At 43.2% G+C, this 18186-nt stretch overlaps 2 protein-coding genes and 1 long non-coding RNA gene across 8 annotated transcripts in view, besides 1 other annotated feature; 1 reads left to right on the forward strand and 2 right to left on the reverse strand.

Moving 5' to 3' along the window:
* The window catches only part of ALDH5A1 (aldehyde dehydrogenase 5 family member A1), a 42239-nt gene extending 29618 nt beyond the window's left edge, over positions 1–12621 (forward strand). For all 3 annotated transcript variants that reach the window (NM_170740.1, NM_001080.3, NM_001368954.1), the window contains 3 exons: positions 3411–3580; positions 7533–7591; positions 8921–12621. In NM_170740.1, the coding sequence (NP_733936.1) occupies positions 3411–3580; positions 7533–7591; positions 8921–9126 (435 nt within the window). In that variant the 3' untranslated portion in view covers positions 9127–12621. The remainder of the gene's footprint in view (positions 1–3410; positions 3581–7532; positions 7592–8920) is intronic.
* LOC124901277 (uncharacterized) lies at positions 10829–15466 on the reverse strand. The gene is made up of 2 exons (XR_007059507.1): positions 15429–15466; positions 10829–15094 (listed from the first exon to the last, which is right to left on the reverse strand). It is a non-coding gene; the product is annotated as an uncharacterized LOC124901277 (long non-coding RNA).
* Positions 13981–15180: an enhancer, noted in NCBI's record as "BRD4-independent group 4 enhancer chr6:24538795-24539994 (GRCh37/hg19 assembly coordinates)". NCBI's record gives its function as "activates an origin of replication core promoter dependent on BRD2, P300/CBP, MED14 and CDK7 cofactors, and independent of BRD4, by STARR-seq in HCT116 cells {active_cell/tissue: HCT116}" and the evidence as "EXISTENCE:reporter gene assay evidence [ECO:0000049][PMID:35650434]".
* Positions 15555–18186, reverse strand: part of KIAA0319 — a 106051-nt gene continuing 103419 nt past the window's right edge. For 2 of the 4 annotated variants that reach the window (XM_047419604.1, XM_017011550.2), the window contains one exon: positions 16673–16759. Coding sequence is in view for 2 of the 4 variants with exons in the window: in XM_017011546.3 (XP_016867035.1) it covers positions 16656–16759 (104 nt within the window). In the remaining 2 variants the exon portion in view is untranslated. Of the gene's footprint in view, positions 16760–18186 lie in introns of all 4 variants that reach the window. The other 2 variants (XM_017011546.3, XM_047419602.1) reach the window with 2 other exon arrangements.

Consider the following 18186-nt stretch of genomic DNA (forward strand, 5'->3'; position numbering starts at 1 on the left):
CAGGGAAGCCTCGAGGTTTGACAGAGCTCTGATAAATTTCTAGTTACTGTCTTGGGATTACTCTAGATAAAGAAAATACATTAAAATTTACATTGGAACCACCTGCATTTTAGAGGTGACTTTGGACCTTGGGGACAAGGCAGGGGTATTCACTTGTCTAGTGAAGGCAATTTGGGTCTAGGCCAGCTGTGGTTCAAGTCCTAGAGTGGTGGTCCTTAACTCACACCGTGCCTTTATCGACTACAGTTGCCTGGGACCCATCCAAGAAGACTAGGTGTTAATTTATGTGTAGTCAGCCTAGGCATTGGCATTTTCTAAGTGCCCCAGTATGATGCTAGTTTGCAGCCAGTCTGGGAAACCACTCTGTCTTGAAGATTTTTTTCCCCAAAGGGAAGACGCAGACATTGTCCTCCAGATGGTGCTGTACGCCAGGACTTCAAACAAGCAGACAGCGAGATTTCTTTTTTGCTGGAGAGAAATTTGGTGGAAACCACCTTGTTTAAAAACACTTCATTGTGTTGGCTTTAGTGTACATACTGTCATAGAGTGGGTTCTAGGAAAAAAACACTGCATCTCACATTAATATGACAAGAAAAGGGCAGAGCAGATTATATTTGGGGAGGAAGGGGGTATTTTTGTTAAGTAGAATTATTTTTATAATATAAAATTCATAGAAAGTAAGCCATCCTAGCCGATGGGGATTAGTTGCAGGTGATGCACTATGAGAGCATTGCAGGAGGGGCATGGATTTCAAAAGAGTCAGTCTCAAAGACAGAATGCACTCACACCTATATTTACCTTCCTGAAACCCTATAGAAAATTCAGCTGAGGGCCGGGCACAGTGGCTCACGCCTATAATCCCAGCATTTGGGAAGCTGAGGCGGGTGGGTCACTTGAGGTCAGGAGTTTGAGACCAGCCTGACCAACACAGTGAAACCCTATCTCTAAAAAAAAAAAAAAAGAAAAGAAAAATTAGCCAGGTGTGGTGGCAAGCACCTGTAGTCCCAGCTACTCAGGAGGCGGGGGCAAGAGAATCTCTTGAACCCACGAGGCGGAGGTTGCAGTGAGCAGAGATCGCACCAGTGCACCCCAGCCCAGCCTGAGCAACAAAACAGAAGTCAAAACAGAAGTCAAAATAGATGGGTCTACCCAGGGGAACCCTGCAGAGGAAATTGGTGCCATTTTAAACGACAGAGCCTTTCTAGAATTGGTGGCTACAGAAAGTAGGAATAGGAGGAGGGGAGGAGATGAAGCTGGTTGATTCTACTTCTGCACAATTTTCTGGGTCATTCCCACCATCCCTTCTCACCACGACCACCACCAAGACACATGAGACAGCAGAGGCATTTGTTCTGGGCAGGACAGCTTTTCTGAAGAAATATAGTAGGTATCTAGGCAGACTACAGCTTCAAGAGCGAGGCTAGGTACCTCAGGGTAGGGCTCTCTCGACTTTGCCTTTTGGGGAAGGGAGCTGCCCTTATGTGAAGCCTGCAAGTTAGAATAAACCCAAGCTTAAAACAGCAAAGACCACTCATGCCACACATCCCCAAATTGATCAACCCAGTCCTTGTGTGTGTGTGTGTCCCCCAAACACACTGCTGGAGCTGAGAAGGAGCTGACCAGGTTAGTTTCGACAACTCAGTCCTTCATTCAGAAAGATGAACAACCAAGGATCATGATGGGAAAACCACCAGCACATAAGAGGAAAGGTCAGGAAGAACAAACAGAATAGTCCCTGAAGGAAGCAGATAAATTAGGGAACTGGAAGGAAATTTTCTAAAAATCTCATAGTGTCCTGCAAGAGTTTTGGGAAGATAGTACATCTGTAAACTGTTAATAAGAAGTATGTTCTAGGCTTAAAGTATAATAATAATAAAAAAAGAAGTATGTTCTAGGAAATGAAGCAATGAAAACAAAGAGTCTGTAGAAATTAGACATATGACTGTCACAAGATTCGGTACCTGAAGTAGATGATAAAATTTCGGAGATCTTATGGAGTTTAAAGCAAACTATAGAGAGGCAAAAAATATAATAGAAATGCAAAAAAAAATCAGAACTAATCTGAACTCCTGTTAATACCCGTCCAGTAGTAGGAGTTCTGGAGTGAAATAATTGGGAAAATGGAGGAAGTGACATTACCAAGTAAATAATAGATGGAAACTTCTCAGAGTTAGGGGAAAATAATTATTCTGCAGATTGAAAGATTTCACTGCTTACCAAGTAGGATGAATGAAAAGGGAATATATATATATCTTCTCTATATATATATATTCTATATATATATATCTTCTATATATATATTCTATATATATATCTACTATATATATATTCTATATATATCTACTATATATTCTATATATATATCTAATATATATATATGTGTGTGTGTATATATATATATATATATATATATATATATATAGTATTGCTAAAATTTTAGAATATCAGAGCATAGAAGATCCTAGGAGATTTCAGAGAGGAAAAAGCTATCAAGAAGAAAAAGGGTGAGAACCATTTTTGGCTCAAACTTCCTCAGCAACACCGGAAGTGGAGAAGTGCACTCAAAGTTCTGAAAGTTATTTTGTATCAGAATTCTGTACTCAAGCAAATTATCAATCAGGTGGAGTACAAAACACCAGAAACTTGGTGTATGAAAATTCAGAAACTAGACCACATCCAGTGCATCTTTTTTAAAACAACTACTTGGCCAGGCCTCGTGGCTCACTCCTGTAATCCCAGCACTTTGGGAGGCCAAGGCGGGTGAATCACGAGGTCAGGAGTTCGAGACCAGCCTGGCCAAGATGATGAAACCCTGTCTCTTCTAAAAATACAAAAATTAGCCGGGCGCGGTGGTGGGTGCCTATAATCCTAGCTACTCGGGAGGCTGAGGCAGGAGAATCGCTTGAACCTGGGAGGCAGAGGTTGCAGTGAGCCAAGGTCATGCCACTGCACTCCAGCCTGGGTGACAGAGCGAGATTCCATCTCAAAAACAAATAAATAAATAACAACTACTTGAGATTATGTGTGTCAGAAAGCAACAAAAACTCAGTTCAGGAAATAGGACAACATGGGATCCAAGAAGCTAGAAATAACCGCAGAATGCAATGAAAGCAAATCCAAGCAAACGGCTGAGCCGCAGGCCTAGAAAGAAGCGAATATATATTAGACCATTCAACAAATAGGAAGATCAAACAGCTAGAAGATATCAAAGACCAAGGAGGAAGGTGGCACTCTTGCTTCTGAATCTCTGCAAATGTGGTTCCTTCTACAAAAGGAAACCAGCATGCTTTATTGTTAACCTACTTTTTTTGAAAAAGAAAAAAAAATGGAACTAGTTATAGTTTTCTGCAGTTTAAACATTCTAAAAGATTGTATCATGTGGAAAGCTTTTTTTCTTCCTCATTACACAGGTGGAGAAACAGGTGAATGATGCCGTTTCTAAAGGTGCCACCGTTGTGACAGGTGGAAAACGACACCAACTTGGAAAAAATTTCTTTGAGCCTACCCTGCTGTGCAATGTCACCCAGGACATGCTGTGCACTCATGAAGAGACTTTCGGGCCTCTGGCACCAGTTATCAAGTAAGATCCTCCAGCCAGCGGGGAGATGGGAGGAAGAATAGAAGAGAACATAGGAAACCCTGAAAGAGATTCCTGGGCTGCTTTGAGGTCTGGCCAGGAGGCAGACAGTTGTGTTGAGTCCATTGAAGAGCAGAGTGCAATTTATGGGTTTTTAAAAAAATCATAACTTATTTGGACCATAAAATTTATCAAATTCTATTTTTTTTTTCTTTTTGAGATGGAGTTTCACTGTGTTGCCCAGGCTGCAGTGCAATGGTGCGATCTTGGCTCACTGCAACCTCTGCCTCCTTGGTTAAAGCAATTCTCCTGCCTCAGCCTCCAGAGTAGCTAGGACTACAGGCACCCACCACCATACCAGGCTAATTTTTTGTATTTTTAGTAGAGATGGGGTTTCACCATGTTGGCCAGGCTGGTCTCGAACTCCTGACCTCAGGTAGTCCTGCGTTGGCCTTCCAAAGTGCTGGGATTATGGGAGTGAACCACCATGCCTGGCCTCAAATTCTTTAATTTACTTTTTCTTACTTTCTGCTGAACTCTTTTTTTTTTTTTTCTTGAGATGGAGGATGGAGTCTTGCTCTGTCACCCAGGCTGGAGTGCAGTGGCATGATCTCAGCGATTCTCGTGCTTCAGCCTTCCGAGTAGCTGGGACTACAGGCACGCGCACCATGCCTGGCTAATTTTTTGTAATCTAGTAGAGATGTGGTTTCACCATGTTGGCCAGGCTGTTCTTGAACTCCTGACCTCAAGTGATCCGCCTGCCTCTGCCTCCCAAAGTGCTGAGATCACAGGCATGAACCACCGTGCTCAGACCTGAACTCATTTTCCTTCTTAATGTATTATACCTCAAAGGATTCTTTCATTGGCCTCCATAGGACATGAACTTTCTGTGTCGTTTTGTGGTCTTTTATCTCCCATTCACAAGTAGATAATAATTTACCTGGATAAAATTTTAGGTTCAACCCTTTGGAGATATTACTCCTTTATCCACTTTTTTTTTCTTTTTTTTGTTTTTTGTTTTGATATGGAGTCTAACTCCGTCATCCAGGCTGGAGTGCAGTGGTATGATCTCGGCTCACTGCAACCTCCACCTCCTGGGTTCAAGCGATTCTCTTGCCTCAGCCTCCCGAGTAGCTGGGACTACAGGCATGTGCCACCACACCTGGCTAATTTTTATACTTTTAATAGAGACAGGGTTTCACCATGTTGGCCAGGCTGGCCTCAAACTCCTTACCTCAAGTGATCCAACAGCCTCAGCCTCCCAAAGTGCTGGGATTACAGGTGTGAGTCACCACGCCCGGCCTCTTTATCTACTTTTATCCAGGGTTATTGCCAAGAAATCTGATTCTTGCTTCTTTGAAAGAAATCTATTTTTTCTCTTTGGAAACATTTAGAATTTCTCTTGATCTTTGATGTTCTTAAATTTTACTATCTGGTATGGCACACAGTGAGGTTTTTCAGTTGAGGTCCTAATATCTTTAATACGGTTTTTTTGTTTTGGTTTGGGTTTTTTTTTTTTTTTTTTTTTGATGGAGTCTCGCTCTGTCACCCAAGCTGGAGTGCAGTGTTGCGATCTCAGCTCAGTTTAACCTCTGCCTCTTGGGTTCAAGCGATTCTCCTGACTCAGCCTCCTGAGTAGCTGGGATTACAGGCGCCCGCCACCAGGCCCTGCTAATTTTTGTAGTTTTAGTAGAGACAGGGTTTCGCCATGTTGGCCAGGATGGTCTCGAACTCCTGACCTCAAGTGATCCACCCGCCTCAGCATCCCAAAGGGCTGGGATTACAGGCGTGAGCCACCATGCCCAGCTCATTAATATCTAACAGGTTTGTTTAGTCCTGGAAAATTTTTTGTCATTATTTTTCCAGATATTCTTCTTCCTTTCATTTATGCTTTTCTAGCCTTCCAAGTAGTCTATTATTGTGATACTTCTACTTCTGTGCCCTAGTTCTCTTGTCTCTTCATTCCATCTCTTCATTCCTGATTCATTCCTGATGCCTTCTGCGAGTCCCTCCCCTCATCTGCCAGCATATTAATGCATTCTTCAGATATACTCATTCTGGCTTCCATCCCACCCACCAAGATCTTTATCTCAACAATTGTTTTTCCCATCCCTGATATCTCCAGTGGGTTCTTCCCCATAACTGATTCTTCCTGCTTCATTATTCTCCCCTACTTTGCTGTGGCTATTTTTCCTTTTTAAAAAAAACATTTTTATTCTCTTCCACCATTTCTGTCTCCCGTGGTATAGGTTGTGCTGCTTTATCTTTCTTAGTCTCAGAGCTCCTCAGACATCTTGTAATTTTCCCTGTGAGCTCATCTTTAACCCCTTGCACCGTCGGCAGCCTTGGCTTGTAATATCTCCCATGGGTTGTGGTAAAAAGCTTAGGCCTTGGTTTGTGCTCCTCATACATTTGGAGGGCAAAGGGTTGAGCCTCACTGAGGATGGCTCTAGTGTTAAAATCCAGTCTCAGTGCCACTCCTCCACCCCAAGTATCCTTTCCGCTGGGGTATTTTGCAGTTCCCTCTATTGGAATAGGTTGGGGAGAAGAGGCTGCTGGTGTTGCCATTGCCTACACTTGTTTCCCATGGCTGGTGTACCTGCTGGGCACGAGCACTGGCTCACTGCCCCAAGCCAGCCCTGCTGCTTTTCTACCTGTAGCAATGTCGCATTGATCCAGGGACCCAGGTTTGTAGGCAGGATCACCTGGAACTCACAGGCGTGGTAGGAGACGTGCAGCCCTGCCCTTGCCCTGCCCACTCCTGCATGGGTGGTCTCGAGCTCGCTCTCACGTGAGGCCATCATTCTCCCCCAGGATCCAACCAATTTATTGGCCTCCAGAAATGTCTTGCATTTTTGGTGCTAGTTTCCGATTGAGGTTTTGTTGCTGTTGTTGTTGGTTTTGACTATGATTCTCTTTCTCTGTCCTCTGGCATGTCCAGCATTGGGTTCACAGAGACAGCTGGCAGCTGGTGCTATCTGTACCGTCTTATCCAGGACCAGAAATCTTTCTTATTATGTACTTCACTGGCCTTGTTACATCTTGCTTATGAAGTTTATTTTTATTCCACTGTTGGGGAAATGGACCCTTGAAGAACTTTCATCTTCTTTGTTTTAATAAAAACTTTTTACATAAAATGTGAACTGGACATTTTCACAGGAAACCAACGGAAGGCATTGGTTGAGAATGCAGGCTTTGCAGTTGACTATGATGTAGCTCTAGACTTTGCTACTTCATAACTGTGTACCCTTGGACAAATTGACTTTTCGGAGCTGGCTCTACCCAGTCCCCCTTTGCAAGCCCTGCAGAGAGACAGCTGGTTCCAACTGCTGGTAGATCTCTGAATTTAGAAATTGGGGTGCTTAGAACTTTTTGCCCCAGTTACAATTCTGGAACAACAGAAAAATATCACTGACATCTTATTCCTGAAATAAAATTTTAAAGCTAGAAGAGATGGCCTGGGCTTTGGTGCATTCCTTCATTTCAGAGAGGAGGAGACTCCAAGCATCGTGCCATTGTTAAGCAGTGGTGGAGGACACATTAGAACCTGGCCCCAACCCCTTCTGAACGTTTTCTTTCTGCTACATCAGGCTTGCTTCTAAAGTAGTTGTTATGATTGTTATATATTCCCAGTGGGTACCAAGAATAGTAATCCTTTTTTTTTAAAGGGATTTTGTTTGATATTCTGGATATGCCACAGTTCCCTACATGTTGGTCTGCTTTTTTCTTGTTCTCTTAGGAGAGATGAAGCCAGTATTGATTTGAGCATGCTAGCCTTAATCGCTGAGTTATATCGGGGAATGGTGCTGCTTTCTTCTGCAATCTGCTCTTGGATCTCTTTGCAAAACTCTGATTTACTCCTTGTGATTATTTGGGAAACAAATCAGAAGAAAACAAAACTGGTTTCCTTTCCTCTCCCCCTTACATTTTTTATGACCTATCTTAACTTTGGCAGGTTCGATACAGAGGAGGAGGCTATAGCAATCGCTAACGCAGCTGATGTTGGGTTAGCAGGTAGGTGTTTGTCCTTGTTCAATACCAGTCATAATCATTTTTCTCCAGCTCATGCCAGATTTACCCTTTTAAACATCACCCTGGGTTTTGAGACAGAAACTTCAATGAGGTATGTGTTTTGTTGCTTTCCAAGTGGTGGAATGGATTTGGATTTGTGCAAGTATGTGTACTTTTCCCTTGTCCCCATGATACACATTTGGGAGCTCTCTAATTACAGCTGTGGGAAGAAGAGAAGGTGCACATTATTCTACTTTTCTAGGTGGAGAACTGCACACATCTCAAAGTCCCACATTCTCAGAGGCTTAATCCCCAGAAATTCCAAATGCTTTTTCTTCCCTTTTGCGTGGCTCCTGTAAGCCTGAACAGAAGAGGAAGGGCATCAGCAAGGAGTGTCAGGGACAATGAAAGGAGTGAAGATGGTGTGTGCAGAGGTGCCTCTCTGATGGCTGACATTCCTTTAGTTTGGAGATGGGCCAGGTGGTCACTGCATGTACTCTATAACCCTGAGAAAATTATGTAATAGCATCCACAGCAAATGAAGTACTGCAGAAGATACAAAGACATACAAGATGCCACTATAGCTCTATAGAAGCTTCCCCTCTAGCTGTAAGAGAACTATTTATACCAAGAGGAATGATAAGCATGCTATGAGGTCCCTTAGAGTTATCGTAAAGCTGGAGTAAGATGTGTGCACAAGGACGTTTATAACACTGAGTTCAGCATTTGTCTCTTCCTTCTCGATGGGGTGATGGTGGAGGAAGACGTACCCTGAACTAGGTCATAAATGATGGGCAGAATTCTGGTTGTGCAGAAGCTGGAGGAGAGAGATTCTGGGCAGAGGGCACCAAGGGAGTTGAGAAGCAAAGTAAGAAAGGGTGAGGAGAATTTGGCTGACAGGTTTGGAGAGGATGGTTGGTGATTGGAGTAATGGAAGATGAAGCCAGAAATGTTGATTGAAACTACTTGTGGGGGAGAGGGTGTTGAATACCCACTAATGAATTTAACCTTATTTTATAATCAGGAGTCATCGAAAGGCTTGGGCAAAAATGTCGTGTGGAAATCTAACAGGTGTGCAGGTGGATTGAATAGTAGAAAACAGGAAGAGGGTCTCGATAGGAGATAGTGAGAGTAGAATTGAAGCAAGAGGTGACTTTCAAAGGTTTTGAGATGAAAAAGTGGACAAGACCAACCTGGGACTTTATCTGGGAGCAGGGAAGACTCCAGGCCCAAGTGGCTGGACAAAAAGTCATCAATGGTGCCCTCATCTTTAGGCATGATGTCTTTAATGACTCTTCTAAATGCCATATATGTCCTTTTATCCTGTGACAGGTTATTTTTACTCTCAAGACCCAGCCCAGATCTGGAGAGTGGCAGAGCAGCTGGAAGTGGGCATGGTTGGCGTCAACGAAGGATTAATTTCCTCTGTGGAGTGCCCTTTTGGTGGAGTGAAGCAGTCCGGCCTTGGGCGAGAGGGGTCCAAGTATGGCATTGATGAGTATCTGGAACTCAAGTATGTGTGTTACGGGGGCTTGTAGGATTCTTTGGTTCTTTAAAAAAATTTAAAAGGAGACTTATCTACATATATAGGTACATGCCATCCATTATTTTAAATAAACTAATAGGTTTTCAGAATTATGAATTTTTCAGAACTCATCCAGTCCTTGTAATCTTAAACAGATGCAAATCCTACCCCTGCCCTTAATGTAACTAGGGACCAATATGTGCCACGTGCCTGTGGCTGCAGACTCCCAGAGAACCAGCACTGGGTTTACAGAATGAGGCCCTGGCTCCCCACCACAGCCCCAGCTGCCTCAGAGCAGGCACAGCACAAGGCAGGCCCAGCCCCATGGGCCGTCACAAAGGCTTGATCACTGCCTGGGCAGTGGCACAACCATCCCCCATGTCGCTACAGAACATGGGCCCAGAGCACCTTGAAGGAGACCCTTGACTGTGACTGGCAGGCAGGTGAGGGGCACAGCACCCCTCCCCGGCATCTGCCAGCTCAGCACAGAAGACACCGAATGTGCATCTGGAGGTGTTGCGGCAGAGGTTTGAGTGAACCCTCTTTCAAAGACAATAAATAGCACAGAATTGTCCGTGCTTCTGTGAGGCACGAAGGAGCACCTCTCCCTATTCCTGAACCATATTTTAATTGATGCCTTTATTGTCCCAAATTTACCACTTAAAGAATTCTATTTTCATTTCTGTCCTGTTTGCCACTTCATTTCATTTCCTTGAGTAAATGAGCTGAAGTGTAAAGCAAAGAATAGCAGAAGCAGCTTGGTAGGATGGAAGGCACGCAGTGGCATGGCCTGGCTCCTTCCCTGAGTGGCCTTGTTGCCTTGGGCGTGTGTTCAGCACCTCCCATCCCATGGATACAGTGGAGATTCCATACAGGCCTTACTTAGCTCCTTGCGATACTGTGAGCCAGAGAGAAAGTAAAAGCACTTCACAAAAAAATGAAAATTCTAAGGACATACAAGAGCCATTGTTACGAGCAGCACCGCCCAGCCCTTCCTTGCCTACTGTCAGTGGCTTTGCCAAGATGGGAGGAGGCCAGTGCCCACTTGCCCACCGACCTGAGCCTGAGTAAGTGGCTGTCACCTGAGCCTGTTCTTTCTGTCCTGGTGTGGTGCTGCTCCCTCACCTCCAAAAGAGCAAAAGTACTTTCACCACAGTCAACCCAAAAGGGAAAGAATTTCTGTAATTGCCAACCCACTTTGTAGAAGAGGCATGAGCCCTTGAATTTCAGGCACCTTTTATCTAATGAGAGTTTTTACAGCTCATCATTCAAATAACGCACAAAAAACAAAAGCCGCTATGACCGGCGTTGCCTCTCACTTTGAAAGAAAGACTCCGTAATCTTAAACAGATGCAAATCCAATTAGGCGGCCAAGTAGGTGGAGACGAAGCACCTTCCTTTCCCCATCTCTGTCTGTGTAGACTCCACTTACATCTTGTGGTTATTCTGGGTTGTGGAAGGAAAATGTGAATGAAAGTAGTGCTGGATGCAATTACTCCTGAACCCCACCTAGGATTTAACATCCCTCATTGAGCCACTGGGAAGCTATGGTTGAGTAACTAAAGGTCTGGCAAGACCCTGGGCACACAGGGAGCTGCCTAGCATCTGGCCTGGAGTGTACTAGCCACATTCCCAAGGTCCCAAGGAGAAGGAAGAGCTGAAATTCATCTCCTAGTGACAGTGCCCCGGCCCTGTCAAGAATCACATACTCAGCATTTTGACAGTTAATGTCTTCTCTTTATTTGTGTAGTTTTTAGGTGGTTTTATATAACATTTTAATTACTTGTGATTTAGATGTATCCATCCTTTTTCTATTAAGAATACAAATGCTGGGCTGGGCACAGTGGCTCACGCCTGTAATCCCAACACCTTGGGAGGCCAAGGCAGGCAGATCACGACATCAGGAGATCGAGACCATCCTGGCTAACACGGTGAAACCCCGTCTCTACTAAAAATACAAAAAAAATTAGTCGGATGTGGTGGCAGGTGCCTGTAGTCCCAGCTACTCTGGAGGCTGAGGCAGGAGAATGGCGTGAACCCAGGAGGCGGAGCTTGCAGTGAGCAGAGATCACGCCACTGCACTCCAGCCTGGATGACAGAGCGAGACTCCGCCTCAAAAAAAGAATACAAATGCTCCAACATTATTTTTTATAACTCTGGATTACCGATGCTGAGATGTGTGCAGGAATACTTCCAAATAAATTTTTAACATTGTAAGCCAGTAGATTCTTTGGCTGGGTGGCAAATTTTGAGTCTTCTTGCATATTTGGCTCATGGGTTCATAAATTGAGGCCAGAGACTCATTGTATATCCTTGATCAATTTTCTAATTAAAGGAAATAGCTTATTGTTTAGTAAAATGGCCCTTGGTTGTGGGAAGAAAGAGAATTATTTTTAACTGAACGTTTTTGTTGTTTTTTAAATAAAGTAGCCATATGTAACGGGATTTTAAAAATATATACATTTTACAACATGGACTAGAAAAGGACCATTAGATCAGGGGTTGGCAAACTATGGCCCACGAATCAAACCTGGCCTGCCACCTGTTTTTATACAACCTGTGAGCTAAGAATGGTTTATATGTTTTCAAATGATTGGGCAGAAAATCAAAAGAAGAACAATATTTCATGACACCTGAAAATTCTATGAAATTCAGATTTCAGTGTCCATAAACAAAATGTTATTAGAGCATAGCCACACCCATTCATTTATGGTATTGTCTGGGACTGCTTTCTTGGCAGAGTTGAATAGTTGGGACAGGGACAGTATAGCCTGCAAAGCCTAAAAGATTTACTACTTGTCTCCTTAAAGAAAAAGTTTGCCAGCTCCTGATCTAGACCAAGAGGGAGATATTGACCTTACTTGCATTTATCCGGCATTATTTCAACACCTCCTGTGAAGAAAGTACTTTTCTGGCATAGCTACCGTGAGTTCTCAGCAGGAACTTCCCAGCGATGATAATGTACATGAAATTAGCCACGTAACAAGAGTCTATTTGCCTTGAAAAAACAATTATCCTTGAACTTCCTCCAGCTATGCAGGGATTCTCATTAAAGAGCTGATCTGCATCTGTTTATCCATTTTAGTAGCTTTTAAATATGATTTTATGTGAAGTGCCATTTCTTTATTCTACTAAAGAGAGACAGCAGAAATAAAGATCAGAAGCAAATGTGAGCAAATCTGTTTTACTGTTAACTTCAATTATGAACTTGAAATTGTGCCACATGACTTTTTCCTCTAAAAACTGGATCCTAGTGTTTTAATTACCTGTGTGCAGCTATTTTAAATAGCATTTTACTTGAATAATATGTATGTTGTCATTGTTTCATGCTATACTTTGTGGGATAAAACTTGGGAATGAGTGTGGTAAGAAATTTATAAAGTTTTGCTTTTAAAACGTGGACATAACTCATTTTTCTAGTTTTTGACAATTGTGTGTTTTAGTGTCTAGTCTGCAGAGAGCTGTGTGATTAATAAACGTGGAATTAACAGAATTTCCTCTCCCTGTATTAAGGTGTCTGGTTGTGCTTTTTTCCCCCTACTTGGTGATCTTTTGAGTTTTTATTGGATGATATTAGACCAGTTTGCATTTGTGTAAATAGCACTCCCTCCCCCAGAGAGCCGTAATCAGTGAGTGCCTTGGGGAAGGAGCCAGCATGTGAAATGATGTGCCCTAAAACCCAGAGAAGGGCCTGTCCATGGTGTGCGCTTATAGAATGTTTGCTAAGCTGAACTGAGAATTTACCTGGTTTGCAGAGGTGGCGGTCACAGAAAGGTGTATAGGCCAGCCGTCACAGATTGGCCTATCTCTCTCTCCTACACGCCCCACTGTTATGACTTCCTGGGCTCAAACAAGCCTCTCACCTCTGCCTCCTGAGTAGCTGGGACCACAGGCACCTGCTACCACACTCAGTTAATTTTTCTTTCATTTTTTGAACAGTCAGGGTCTCACTGTGTTGCCCAGACTGGTCTCAAACTCCTGGGTTCAAGCCACCCTCCCGCCTCAGCCTCCCAAAGTGCTGGGATTATGGGAGTGCACCATTGTAGCCAGCCCTCACCATAATTTAGAACACAGACAGCACTGCTGCCCAGTGGTTAGTGGACATTTTTGCAAATGTCGTCTCACATTTTACAATCACGTATTGCTCGACAACAGAGATATATTCTGAGAAATGCGTCATTAGGCAGTTTCGTCCTTGTACGAACACTGTAGAGTACTTACACAAACCTGGATGGTACAGCCTCCTACACAGCTAGGCTATACGGTCTAGCCTATTGCTCCTAGGGCTACAAACCTGCACAGCATGCTACTGTACTAAATACTGTAGGCAGTTGTAAGACAATGGCAAGTATTTATGTATATAAACATAGAAAAGGTACAGTAAAAATCAAGTATAAAAGATTTAAAAATTACACTTGTAAAAGGCACTTACCGTGAATGGAGCTTGCAGAACTGGAAGTTGCTCTGGGTGAGTCAGTGAGTGACAGTGAATGTGAAGGCCTAAGGTATGACTGCACACTACTCTAGACTTTACAAACACTCTACACTTAGGCTACACTACATTTATTAAATAATATTTTTCTTTCTTCAATAATAAATTACCCTTAGCTTACTGTAACTTTTTACTTTATAAATTTTTAAAATTTTTTAACTTTTTGACTCTTTTGTGATCACACTTAGCACTTAAAGCACAAACTAATTGCACAACTGTATAAAAATATATTCTTTTTTTATATCCTTGTTCCACAAGCTTTTTTATATTTTAAATTTTTTTAAACTTTTTTGTTAAAAACTAAGACACAATTACACACATTAGCCTAGGCCTACAAAGGGTCAGATTCATGGATATTTCTATCTCCCACCTCCTCATCTTGCCCCGCTGGAAGGTCTTCAGGGGCAATAACACGCAGGGACAGCTGGGCCCAGTGGCTCACGCCTGTAATCCTAGCACTTCAGGAGTCCAGGGCAGGCGGATCGCTTGAGCCCAGGAATTTAAGACCAGCCTGGGCAACACGGCGAAACCCTGTCTCTACAAAAAATACAAAAATTAGCCAGGTGTGGTGGCACGTGCCTGTCGTCCCAGCTACTCAGGAGGCTGAGGCAGGAGGATCGCTTGAACCCGGGAAGTCAAGGCTGCAGTGAGCCGTGACCGCACCACTGTACTCCAGCCTGGGTGACAAGGTGAGACCCTGACTCAAAAAAGAAAAAAACGTGGAGCTAGGATAACAAGACCTACCTGAGGTTCTTAGGAGATGTCATGCATCAGAAATATGTCCATGGTGGTTTGCTTGCTTTCCTTTTTCATCATAGATTTGCTTGTAAGCAGACAGTGCATAAAGAACATTCCTCTCTGTTAATGAAACCCTTTTGGTGTTGAGGGGCCCATGTTTTCAGAATTTTTAAGGCGCTTACTGAGGTCTGCAAAAACTTCTCAGCTCTTCACTGTGAATTTTCATGGGGATTCTTTTTCTTCTGCAGTTTTTTCTTCCTTGCCTCTTCTTGAGGTATGTGTTCCTGTTCCAGTTCCAACAACTCCTCATTAGTCAGTTCCTCAGGAACCACCTGTAGGAGCTCCTCAATGTCTTCTTCTTCCACCCCCAGGTTAAAATTGTTTGCCATCTCAACCACAGCCTTGTTGGTTTTTGCAACCTCCTTGTCCTTGGCAAATCCTTTGAAATCACGGATGAACCTCTTGAGTGTCTTCTTCCAGATGTCATTTATACGTTCCTTGGTAACATCACCCCAAGCCCAAGCAAGGGTCCTGATGGAGTCGTAGATGTAATCCTTTCAGAATTGCATCAGCGTCTTCTCCGTGTCTTCCTTTGTTGCAGTAATAACCTGAGCAAAGCTGCTCCTCCTCAGGCAGTGGGCCTTAAAAGCTGCTGTAACTCCTTTACCCATTGGTTGGTAATCCTTAATCTCTTGTTTCAAGATCAGTCACTTGATGTGGCCTCTTACTGGCAACAATAGCCGTGGATTTTCTATGACAAAGGGACCGTGATGAACAAAGCAACACGAGATTAATTGAAGCACAAGAGAAAATAATGCAATCAAGAGGCACAGTAAACAAGACACGTTTATACTGCTGGTATAACCCAGTATTTCTTTTGTTTTGTTTTGTTTTGTTTTTGAGACAGGGTCTCACTCTGTAATTTAGGCTGGAGTGCACCGGCACCATCACAGCTCACTGCAGCCTTGACCTCCTGGGCTCAAGAGATCCTCCTACCCCAGCCTCCTGAGTAGCTGAGACTACAGGCATTCGCCACCACACCCAGCTAACTTTTAAACATGTTTTTTATAGAGATGGAGTCTCACCATGTTGTCCAGGCTGGTCTCAAACTCCTGGGCTCAAGCAATCCTCCAGCCTCAGCCTCCCAAAGTGCTGGGGTTACAGGAGTGGGCTACTGCACCCAGCCACATACTGTTTTACAATAAACTGTTTTTAATAAGTAGAAGGAGTACACTGTAAAATAACAATGAAAAGTACAGTATAATAAATACGTAAACCAGTAGCATAGTCACTTATTATATACTGTACATAATTGTATGTGCTATACTCTTATACAACTGAGAATGCAGGTTTGTTTACACCAGCATCACCACAAACATGATTAATGCATTGGGCTGCATTGGACTTTATGATGGCTACGACATCACTAGGTGACAGGAACTTTTCAGCTCCATTATCTCATGGGTCCATAAATCATATATGCAGTCCATCACTGACAGAAATTTCACTATGCCAGGCATGACCGTATAAGCCTATGTGCTCTCTTCCTGCTGCAATAAAGTCTCAGTCCTGCAACTCTGGGTTCATCATCTTTAGGAGAATGGAGGTGATAATACTCTCCATGTAGGCTTCAAATAAAGGAAGCTTTGCTGCTTGCTAATCTCAACTCAACAAGAGAGGCTCTAGGGACCAATTAGTTGGAGAAATGGTGACTTTGTTTCTTTTTTTTTTTTTCCTTTCTTAACTTTGTTCCTGATTTTAATGGAAATGCTTATTTTACTGTTGATATGTGGATCTGGCCTTTCCTTCTCAACATCTTTAAACTTTTAATTTTGAAATAATTATAAATTCATAGGAAGTTGCAAAGATAATGCAGAGTCCCGTGTACCCTTCACCCAGTGGTTCGCTTATTACCTATGTAATACAATTATCAAAACCAGGAAACTGATACCAGTGCAAAACTGTTAATCCAGGCCTTATTCCAATTTCACTCGTTTTTATGTGCACTCATTTGTATGTGAGTGTTTGTACACCTCTACCTAATTTGATCACATCAATAGTTAGATTTGTGTAGGCAGCACCTGAATCAAGATACAGAACTGTTTCATCTCTACCTAGGAAATCCCTGGCAGTACCTCTTCATAAATGACTTTGAAAGTAACTTGGCAAGATTGGTAGCTTTTTTAAACTTTCCTTTCACTATTATATACATGCAAAAAAAAAGGATACATAATTGAATAAGTGAATCGCTCAATGAATTCTCAGAAGACCGAGATCAAGGTGTCGGCAGGTTTGGTTTCTCCTGACGCCTCTCATCTTGGCTTGTAGATGGCCGCCTTCTTGCCATGTCCTCCCATGATCTTTCCTCTGTGCCTGCGTGCCCCAGATGTCTCTCTGCAGGTCCTAATCTCTTCTTCTAATAAGAAAACCAGTCGATTGGATTAGGACCCATCTTAATGGCCTCATTTTACTCATTTTAACTTAATTAATCACATCTCTTTAAAGGCTCTATCTCCAAATACATTTCAGGTACTGGGGGTTAGAGCTTCAACCTATGAATTTTGACATAACACGATTAATTTAGTCAGCTGGGCGCAGTGGCTCACGCCAGTAATCCCAGCACTTTGGTAGGCCGAGGCTGGTGGATCATTTGAGGTCAGCAGTTTGAGACCGGCCTGGCCAACATGGCGAAACTCCATTTCTACTAAAAATACAAAAATTAGCCCGTCATGGTGGTGGGCGCCTGTAATCCTAGCTACCTGGGAGGCTGAGGCAGGAGAATCGCTTGAACTGGGGAGGAAGAGGTTGCAGTGAGCCAAGATCATGCCACTGCACTCCAGCCTGGGTGACAGAGTGAGACTCCATCTCAAAAATAATAATTTAGCCCACAACACTGAAGGAATATTTTTTTAAATGCCTTTATTTTCTGGCTGGTCATGGTGGCCCATGCCTGTAGTCCCAGTACTTTGGGAGGCTGAGGCGGGCGGGTCATTTGAGGCCAGGAGTTCGAGACTAGCCTTGCCAACATGGCGAAACTCCGTCGCTACTAAAAATATAAAAAGTAGCTGAGTGTGGTAACACACATCTGTAATCCCAGCTACTCAGGAGGCTGAGGCACAAGAATCACTTGAACTGCCAGGAGGCAGAGGTTGTAGTAAGCGAGATTGCACCACTGCGCTCCAGCCTGAGCAACAGAGCAAGACTGTCTGAAAAAAAATAAAATAAAAATTCCTTTAGTTTCAGTAATGGAAAGTCATCCTTGTTGAAATTATAAAGATTTTGTTCCTTTACTTAGCCTAGTATTTGCTCTCTCAGTAAATACACAACTCTTACAGGATTGAAGATGATCCAGGAGCCACGTAATTAGTTTAACTACAATACCCCATTCCCATTCTCATACTTCAACAAGCATTTATCTCAACAAAATTATGTGAACAAATATGAACTTGAAAGAGCCAATCCTTTAAGATAAATCCCCATTGGTTAACTAGGCCTAAATTTAAAATAGACCTAAGTGGGACCTGGCACTGTAGCTCACATCAGTAATCCCAGCACTTTGGGAGGCAGAGGGAGGTGGATCACTTGAGCCAGGAATTTTTGAGACCAGCCTGGAGAGCATAGTGAGACTCCCCCATCTCTACAAAAAATTAGTCCACACCTGTAGTCCCACCTACTCAGGAAGCTGAGAGGTGGGAGGATCACTTGAGCCTGGGAGGTCCACACTGCAGTGAGCCGTGATGGTGCCACTGCACTCCAGCCTGAGTGACAGAGCAAGACCCTGTCTCAAACAAACAAAAAACACCTAAGTGAGCATTTGTTAACTAGATGTCACACACATGTACT

Source organism: Homo sapiens, chromosome 6 (genome assembly GCF_000001405.40).
Source record: "Homo sapiens chromosome 6, GRCh38.p14 Primary Assembly".
Lineage (NCBI taxonomy): Eukaryota > Metazoa > Chordata > Mammalia > Primates > Hominidae > Homo > Homo sapiens.